The following is a 9,019-nucleotide window of genomic DNA, read 5'->3' on the forward strand; positions in this document are numbered from 1 at the left end:
TTGGTCTTTAAACTCATCACCACTCATTCATACATTGAGCATCCTCCTGATATTTTAGGGGATCTTCTAAACTTAACTTTTTAACAATCAGCCCTTCTGAAAGAAGAGTTTACTAAGTTCATTGATTCTCTTTTGGCAAGCTCGCAATTCCTACATTTGGACAAATTAAACACAGTAAAGATTTCCTATATCAGCTCAGAGGACACTACCTGAAAATTCAGAAAGCTTTTCTTAGACTTCAGGAAAAAAGAAATGAGAGGATGAAAGGATGAAAGGAAGGGAAGAAGGAAGAAAGAAAGAAAAAAGGAGCAAAGAAGGAAGAAAGGGTTAAGAAGAGACAAAGTAAGAGGAAATAAATAATGTAGAATACATATTTCCAAAACGGAAAGAAAAAAACAATTCAACTAACATATATTAATCTTTATTCTATAACAGACATAAATAATTTTATGAATTCATATGACCTATACAAAAGACAAGATATTGCACTAAATTTAGATATGGGATATTTGAATTTAATATTAGCTAAACAGATAAATATATACAATTTAAAGAGTTAAGGCAAAACCAGATGATACTTCAAATACAACAGAAGCCTTGAAAAATAGGTATAATTAGAAACAACAGCATCCCACCACCAGTTAATAAAGTGGTCATGTCTACGGAAAAAAAAAAAACCTTAGGTTTTTAATAAAGTGGTTATTATCAATCATTTTAATTAAAGTTGAGCAATAAAGTATAAGATTTCCCTCGGAGGGGAGCTGTTTTGCTGAGGCTCAGGGATTGAGCACTTAGATTTTGGGTAAGCAACTTTTTCCTTGTCAGATTTATGATCTATTCTTCTTCTTAGAAAATATAACTTGGAAAATATGACTCTTTCACATATACAATTAAAATACAACTATGAAGCATTCTTTTTTTTTGAGAGAAGTCATGTCGATGATATCGTAGTCAAGGTAAATTTGTGGGCAAGCCATTCATTACCTTATTTTAAGAGAAAACATAATACCAGTTACTGAAAAAAAAAATCCAAGTTTTTTACAAGAACCAAACAAACTAATTCCAAAGGAATAAAAACAAATATAATCAATATATTAACACAGTATACAGTTCTTTGGCAGTATCACACTAACCGTTGATTGAAGTCAGAACTTTAGAGTTTTCTAATCCTTAGACCTGGTTGCCAGTCTTTTAAAACTAAACAAATAAAATTCCACATCTGTAACTAATTCAGTAATCCCAGGAAATGAAATTCAGAATAAGTCTTGCAGACAGCTTTTGACTGTTACATTTAAGCATAGGTATTATCTGCTTAGAGTCCCAATCCAAATATACTGAAACAGACACACACAAATAATCTGTGAAATTTTGTATTGGTTCAGACAGGCTAGAATCCTTAGAATCCATATCCACCCATGAGAAACCAATAAAAGACATCAATCCAATGATGAAAAAATGATCTTCCAATAACTCAGGAGTGGGTCATCCCTCACCTGGATGAACATCATGGAGAAATTGAATCCTATAGGGGGAACACCAGAAAGCCAGAAAACGTGGAATACTGCCAGCCTCCAACCAAATTACCTTTCTCCAGTTTTAGGTAAACCTTATCCTCTTTATCTAGGTAGAGCAGGACACCATTCGTGGCAGCTTCACGAGTAACATCTTTGTCCCCCGCAAAGGCAGATATTACTGGTTTTCCATTTAACATCAAGTTAACCTAGAAGAAGAAAAATAATAATAATTGAAAAGTTCTCTTTAAAGTCAAAACATCTACTGGGGAGAATAAATAATGTCTAAGATGATAGACCCAGTAAAATACCTGATGTTCAGGAAATATATTCCCTTCCTTTCAAATTAGCCAATTGTGGGGGCCATACTTCACATGTCTGCTGAACTGATTTTTTTAATTTTTTTTTTCTGATTGGAATTTCCTTAAATTCCTACAAAAGAATAACATCTATGGAGACCAACCTAGCCATGTGAAAACTAGCTTCCCTTCAGCACATAAATTAAGCTTACTGCTTTACTTAACTCTTCCACCCAACAATAATCTTTTGGAAATAGAGCAGGCTTGTGGCTTCCCGGTACATTCGTAAAAGAGACCCTCTGCCCACTGACATAAGAGACCCAGATACAACCCAATCCTACCAACATCCTTGCGAATTTTTGTGCAGCTGTAACATGCATACTACTGAAAATCAATTGAAATAATGAAGTTTGTGTATATATGTGTCTGTGTGTGTTTATTTCTTTTTCTATTTTCCCTGATAGGAAACAAGCATCAAAAACAATCATCAGGCCAGGCATAGTGGCTCATGCCTGTAATTACAACACTTTGGGAGACCAAGGCAGGAGGATCACTTGAAGCTAGGAGTTCAAGACCAGCCTGGGCAACATAGCAGGACCTCATCTCTAAAACAAACAAAACAACAAATTTAAAAATTAGCCTGATTGGTCACATGCACCTATAGTCGTAGCTTCTCAAAAGGCTGAGGCAGGAGGATTGCTTGAACTCAGGGGTTTGAGGCTGAAGTGAGCTATGGTTATGCCACTGCATTCCAGCCTGGGTGAAAGAGTGAGACCCTATCTCAGAGAAAAACCAAAAAATAAAAAATAATAATCACCACTATCACTGATTTTAGTGATTTTAGTGATTTTAGATTTAGATTTTAAATTTTAGAGATTTCAGTGACAGATAATTAGAATCAACTCAAAACTGTATTAACTATTTTCTATTCTTCAATTTTGATTACACTGTGTCAAGCATTGCATACATTTCTAAATATTGGGGGTTGGGAAAACTTTTCCATGGAAGTAAGTTTGTTTTCTAGATTTTTTTAGGTTAAAAGTCATATGGAATAAATTAAATCTGAGGCTGATCCATTTATCCATTTACTAGGACATGTAAAAGTATTAATAGATAAGCATGTAATCTATCATTCATATTGACATAATGTATAACATAAATACTGAGCATAAGATAAAAGGTTATCTTAGAATTCCATGCACATGTATTTGTGTCATTTAGTATTAGCATACTGGAATATTGTTGGAACAAGCTCCACTGTTGCTTTTGAATGTAAGGTCAAGCCCATTGTCTTAGAAAGCAGAACACAAAATATATTAACTGTGGAACTGCAGTTGGTAAGAATTCACTAGCATCAGAGTAACTGAGGATAAACACAAGCATACGCATAGAACACCGTTTTTTAAAAATGTATTTTGAATAGTTCCTCCTTCATAGACTTATTCTTACTGATTAGCTGTATCTCATAATTTTAAAAAATAGCAAATGTGTTTTATTTATTTAGTATGCACTTGTAAAGCTGTACTAGTCTTACAAGTTTTTTTCTTATGAGTTCAAGTAATTCTTGTACATGCATTAAATGAAAGCATGATCTTACAAAGAGATTTGTGTCACTGAATTTTTACTCAACCATGGATTTTTAAAAAATGTTTGATTGTTATTAAGGTAATAACTTCAATTCTCTATTTTTCTATACGCTTTTTGTCACGTCTTAATGGATGTTAAAGAGAAAAAAATTAGAAATTAAGTGTTTTAAAATAAATGATAAAGATGGCTGCTTATTTCTATTGTGGAAACACAACTTTGGATAAGTACTTAAATATATAACCCACTAAAGATAAGCACAGTTGGTTGAGAGTATGGATGGAAGAGGTCAAAACACACACCTGGATAGTTTGGCTCTGGTAGACTTTAATCACGTGAAAACTGAAACTGTAAATTCCTTTTCTTGGTGCTACAAAGACAGACTCCAATGTGAAAAAATTACCCACATTCACCAGGATCTACAAATAAAAATAATAAATAACAATAAGTTATTATATTTTCTTCTGTAACTAAAATGAATTTTCTTCCTCTCACTCTCTTCCTCTCCTCTTCCTTCTTTCCCTCCTTCCTTCATTCCTTCCTTCCTCTTTCTTTCTTTTCTTTTTTCTTTTGTTCATTCATTCATTCTTGGCAACTAGCTTAAGAAATCATAGAAAATAAAACATCTAGTTCTGTATCTTTCCTCTTAACTGATTTGGAAAATTGACTGGAATACTGGAAGGTTCTTCTGTCTTTTAAATGATATAAGAATAAATAAAGTAACTGCTTTGTATTCATGTCTCAATTTCCAGCAAGGCCCAATGGCTCTGGAAACATCGAGCTAACATTTGAGAACTTATAAATATTAGCTTTACCTTGAGAGTTGGATAAAAGGCACCCGCTATGTGTTTACATTCCCACCTTCTACAAGCCTTTGCAATGTCCAGAGGTGACGTTTCCAAGCCAGCCAATCAGCATCTGTGAGCTCTCCGCAGCATCCCTGGACAAACCACAGAGGCATGGGTACCCCCTCCACCATGTGACATAATCCTTGACACTGAACAGTTGGTGCACAAAGTGATCTGAATGCCTGGCCCTTCTCTGAGCCACCACCACCCCTCTCCTAAGATCTGTTACCATTTTTTTTTTCATTCCTGTGCCAGCTAGGCCTTAATTATAATAATGTGGCAATGAGTCAGCCCTTGTGGGCTGCCAAAGAGGAGAGCATAGAGAAGGCTAAACTATGAAATAGGTGGCTTTCCCTGTTCCTCCCCGGGCTGTCCATTAACCTCCTATCAATCACCTGCTCTTTATTTGAAGTTCAAGGTTCAAAAGTGAAATTAGATACTGTTTCCCAAGAAAGCAACAATGCATTTTGTATTCCAAAATATTCAGCCTAGTTCTATTGGTTATAAAATTAACTCTAAATTTTAATAAGTGACCTCTTAAGCTAAATTTGCAATGTCACATGGGTAAGTCTCTTTCTATGAGAAAGAGGGATTGGGATGGAGGATGGATGTTAAAATAACCAGGGTTTGTTCCATTTCTTTCCAAGAAATACACCTGTAAGTGGCATTCAAAAATAATAAGAGGTCCCTAAAAAGATATACTTCTCATATATCAATGGCAATCTGCTACTATCTCTTTCGAACACTGCATTCTTGCCAATATTAACACACTTGCAAGCCTCTTGCATAATTCCCTAAAAATGTACTATTACCTCTGGGCAACATACCAGAATGTAGTGACAGTCAAGCAGATGTATCAGGCTCAACACCTAACTTAAAACACATGTACGTGTATAATTTCATTCTGAGATTTCGCCTTCTTCCAAGTAAGCATCAGATTTTTTTTGTAACCTGATGATAGATGGTCTTTCAACAAGTCACCAGCTGTGCAATAATCCCCAGCAGAGGCTTTACAAAGAAATTTTTCAAGCACAATTAAAATAATTTGAGGTGCTTAGTGGTGACTTCCTGATTCAGATACAAGTAGCATAATTCATTAGCAATAATGAAAATAGCTGATTAGTGTTGGCTACATATAAAACTGGATGTTGACTCTACACTGTAATTGGAGCATCCAGGTACATCGAGATTTATAACCAAATGTGTGTTCTTGTCTCTAAGATGCAAGGCTCACTGAAAAGAAGAACAAACCCTTTTCCTCTTCTAATTGATGGAAAGGTCATTGAAAGGAACACCCTGTATAGAGGATAGTGCAATGCCCACAGTATTCCAACATTTAATTAAAGCATTGAAATACAAACTAGGGGTGGTGCTAGACTTTATTTCCATCAAGATGGAAAATACTGCACCAAAACCCCAAATGGAGCTACTTAATTCTTTAAAAATTATGTCTATCAAATACTAAGCCCCTAGAGAGGCATTCTCTGTCTTTGGCCAGCTGGAGAGTGCATTAGTTAGGAAAAATTAAGCAAGGAATACAGATGTCACCTCGTGCTTTCCCTGGCACATCCTGCAACACCACTTAACCTGTGCCCCCTGCACATTGCAGCTTTGCATACAACTGTGAACTGTGAATTTGGAATTTAAAAAGACTCTGGATACTGTTGGGGCTGAAATTAAAAACTCTGAGGACAGTTTTCTCCCTTAAGACCCCTTGCTAAAGGTAAGCTGATATCCTGGGGTTTCTCATCAAGCCAAACACGGAGCACCAGGTCGCTAAACAGCAGCTACAGCTTCCGTCAGCTCTTCCCCTACTCTCATCAACCTCAAAGTCTGTCTTTCCCCAGCTATTTGCAATTCTCTGAAAGGACATGAGCCCGGGAAGGGAGAACTGGCTCCCAAGCGCTTTCCTACAGGAGCTCAGCGCAGTTGCCAAATTCCTTTTCCTCCCCTCCTCCGCAACTTTTCTCTAAGTACCGGAGAAGGGCTTGCTGCCTACTCCGAGGCAGCGGCAGTGCCAGCGGTGCCTGGCACACGAACAGTGGAACCTGCAGGCGAGATCTGACCCCCGGCTCTGCCCCCGCCCTCCGCGGCCACCTGCCCGATCTCTGAAGAGTGTGGAAGCCCGGGGCTCTCTTGGGAGAGAAGCTTCTCTACCTGGGAGAAACAAATCAAACATTTATCCTGTTCCGCAAAGGTACCCAGGGAGCAGCCTCAGCGGCACCCGCAGAGGAGTCTGAGCAAGGGCACCAAGATCTGGCCAAGAGATAACGACGTCCAGGGACCAGGTGCCCTTCGGCTCCCGCCGACCTGTTGCTCGAAACTTGCCCTGAGCTCTCGCTGCCGGGCTCTGGGCTCCCAAGCCTCTCCCCCGCCGCCGCAGCAGCCTCTTTTAGGGGCCCGGAAGAAATGGGAGCCGGGGCTGGTGAGAGGGGTAGGAAGAGGGACGGTAGAAGTTTCAGACCCAGGCATATTTGGGAAGGCGAGTGCTTTACATGATTCCCCATTTCCCAATCGGACCAGCTTAGCCTGGGCAGGCAGCCTCGTGCTGAGGTGCCTGGAGACCGCCCACCCCCTAGGTGCTCGCTTCCCCCCGGGTCTGACCTGATCGAAGTAAATGATGCGCGTCTTGTTGCTCATCTCGGATGGCTCGTGGTTGGTGCTCCGCACCGCCGAGAAGGCGACCTTGGAGTTGGCCGCCCGGACCGATATCCCCAGCGGGGAGGAAGAGGAGCCCTTGGAGTCCGTGGCCGGGTTCGAGTCGCACACCACCAGACACTTGCCCTCCAGCACGATGGGCTCCGTGTCGTTCTGTGCCCAGACGGGCAGCCCCGGCAGCGTGAGGACCAGCAGCACGGCCGGCACCGCGGACAGCGCCCGGCGCCCGGAGCCCATGGTGAGCCGTGTGGGCAGCCGCAGCCGGCTGGCGCTGGTGCTCGCCCGCGTCGCCTCCTACCCCGGGATCCCGGTGCTCGGGAAGATGCTAGCGGCTAGGTCGACAGCGCTGCAGGAGCGACGGCGGCGGCGGCGCGCACACTTCCACCAATTCTGTGGCTTGAAGTCAAAGTCTCCCCTCGAGCTCTCTCGCTGGCTCTGTTACCTTTGTCCTTTAAGGAGCTCATGCAGCACCCTTTACCCTACTCTCCTCCGCCCAAGAATCAGCCCTGCCTGGGGCCCCTGCACCCACTCTGGTTCCTAGACATCTGAAAGTCATCAAACCCTCACATTCACACCTCAAGGCAAAAAATAATAATAATAATAAATTCTCACCCCAAACTCAAGCACCACCAGCTAAACCACGGAGCAGGAACAAAAAGAGGGGACTCAAAGAGAAGCCACAAGGGTGGCGGGTGCCCAGCGGCGCGGGTGCCAGTCCTGTCTGGCTTGCGGCAGGGACGAGTTACAGAGGCAGAAGGTCCTTCCCAGGCTGAGAAGAACGCGAGGCTGTGTTCATGGCCAGGACGCCAGCGACTCCCACTTTCGCCTGGTCAAAAAAATCCCCCAAACCTGGTGTCACCCAGAGGTAGGGAGGGAGGCAGCGGCTAGCCAGGTCCCTCGCACCGAAAGCGCGGATTCGCAGGATCAGGTCCAGGGCGCCGGGCGCAGCGTTCAGGGCGGCTGGTCCGGCGGGGTCCTCTCCTGCCTGGCCGCCCGCCCCCAGTCCCTGCGCACAACTTTCTCGTCCCTCGTGCAGCCCGGAGAGCGCGAAGCGGGCACACGCGCTCTATTTATAGGAGCGCAGCGTCCGGCTGGGTTGGCTTATCGCGCAACCCGCGGGCTCCGAGAAAAGGGGGAGAAGGCGTCTGGTGACCCCATCTGAGCAGCTCTCTCCTGACGTTTAACGCACCCCAAAGCAAGCGGGGCGCACAGCACTGGTGATTGGCAAGGTTCGAGGCCCCTCAGCCCCTGAAAGCCCGTGGCGTAAAGGATGCGTGCCCAGAGAGGAGCCCACGGCCCTGCGCTGGCCCCAGCTCCGCGCCCACTCTCTCCTGCTCGATCTGAGTCCGCAGAGGAGGCGGCTGGTCCCCTCACCCCTCCCAGCGCGGAACTCTGCCGCCGAGTGCCCTCCAAGCGGAGCGCGGCGCTGCCAGGCCGGGTCGCGAAAAAGGATAAGCCGCCGCGGACCCGCGCTGCGCGCTGCCCCGAACCTGGGGACCGGCGGGCGTCCCGACCGCGCCTGGCCGGGAGCCCGCCCCACACAGCCCTGGGGCCTGGCGAGCTCAGGGAAGCCTTGGGGCGGACCAGAGCCCGTGGGGGCGGCTGGGAGGAGGTGCCTGATTCCTTCCTTCCGCTCCGGGAAGATGAGCCTCAGAAGCCGCAGGGGCGCGCCTTCCCCCCACACCGCGAATCCTCCCCAGGCATGGCCAAAAAAAAGAGTGGGAGAGGGAGTTAACTCAGCAAGAATAAGTCCTCCGAAACCGTGCCAACAACAATAAAAAAATAAAAATAAAAATAAAAATAAAAGACAATCCCACTCCTAGGAATACAGCATTTTTCTCCCCTTTGGATGCGCTTTCCGCCCCCGTGCCACTCCACTGCTATCTTGGCCTCTGATTTGCAAGAGTTCCCTTCCTCTTCTGCAGCTACCACGGGGAAGGGAGGTTTGTCTCTGTCTGGACCCGGCTGCGTGAACTTGGCCGAGTCACTAACCCTCTCTGAGAGGGGGGCGCGGCGTTAACTAAGGTCCTCCCCACCCCCATCCCGCCAGCTTTCCAATTCTGTGATGCTGTGGGGTCATGGCGCCCCTTCCCCAATTTCTTCTACACTTCCAGCTGCC

The 9,019-nt window shown here is 44.4% G+C and overlaps 1 protein-coding gene across 1 annotated transcript; it reads right to left on the bottom strand.

The window, feature by feature from the left end:
• Positions 1-322: 322 nt before the first annotated feature.
• Positions 323-8,485, bottom strand: CBLN4 (cerebellin 4 precursor). Its single transcript, NM_080617.6, has 3 exons — positions 6,847-8,485; positions 3,697-3,813; positions 323-1,720 (listed from the first exon to the last, which is right to left on the bottom strand). The coding sequence occupies exons 1-3, from the start codon at positions 7,135-7,137 to the stop codon at positions 1,523-1,525; spliced, it is 606 nt and encodes a 201-aa protein (NP_542184.1). The 5' UTR covers positions 7,138-8,485; the 3' UTR covers positions 323-1,522.
• Positions 8,486-9,019: the final 534 nt, after the last annotated feature.

The sequence above is a fragment of the Homo sapiens genome, chromosome 20 (genome assembly GCF_000001405.40).
Source record: "Homo sapiens chromosome 20, GRCh38.p14 Primary Assembly".
Classification (NCBI taxonomy): domain Eukaryota; kingdom Metazoa; phylum Chordata; class Mammalia; order Primates; family Hominidae; genus Homo; species Homo sapiens.

Bases quoted from the DNA above. Each gene is read 5' to 3' on its own strand.
- CBLN4 (NM_080617.6), bottom strand. From the start codon at position 7,137: ATGGGCTCCGGGCGCCGGGCGCTGTCCGCGGTGCCGGCCGTGCTGCTG. The intron at 3,814-6,846 runs GTCAGACCCGGG...TTTTATTTGTAG, and splicing joins GCATCATTTACTTCGATCAG to ATCCTGGTGAATGTGGGTAA. The intron at 1,721-3,696 runs GTGTGTGTTTTG...TTCTTCTTCTAG, and splicing joins ACCAGAGCCAAACTATCCAG to GTTAACTTGATGTTAAATGG.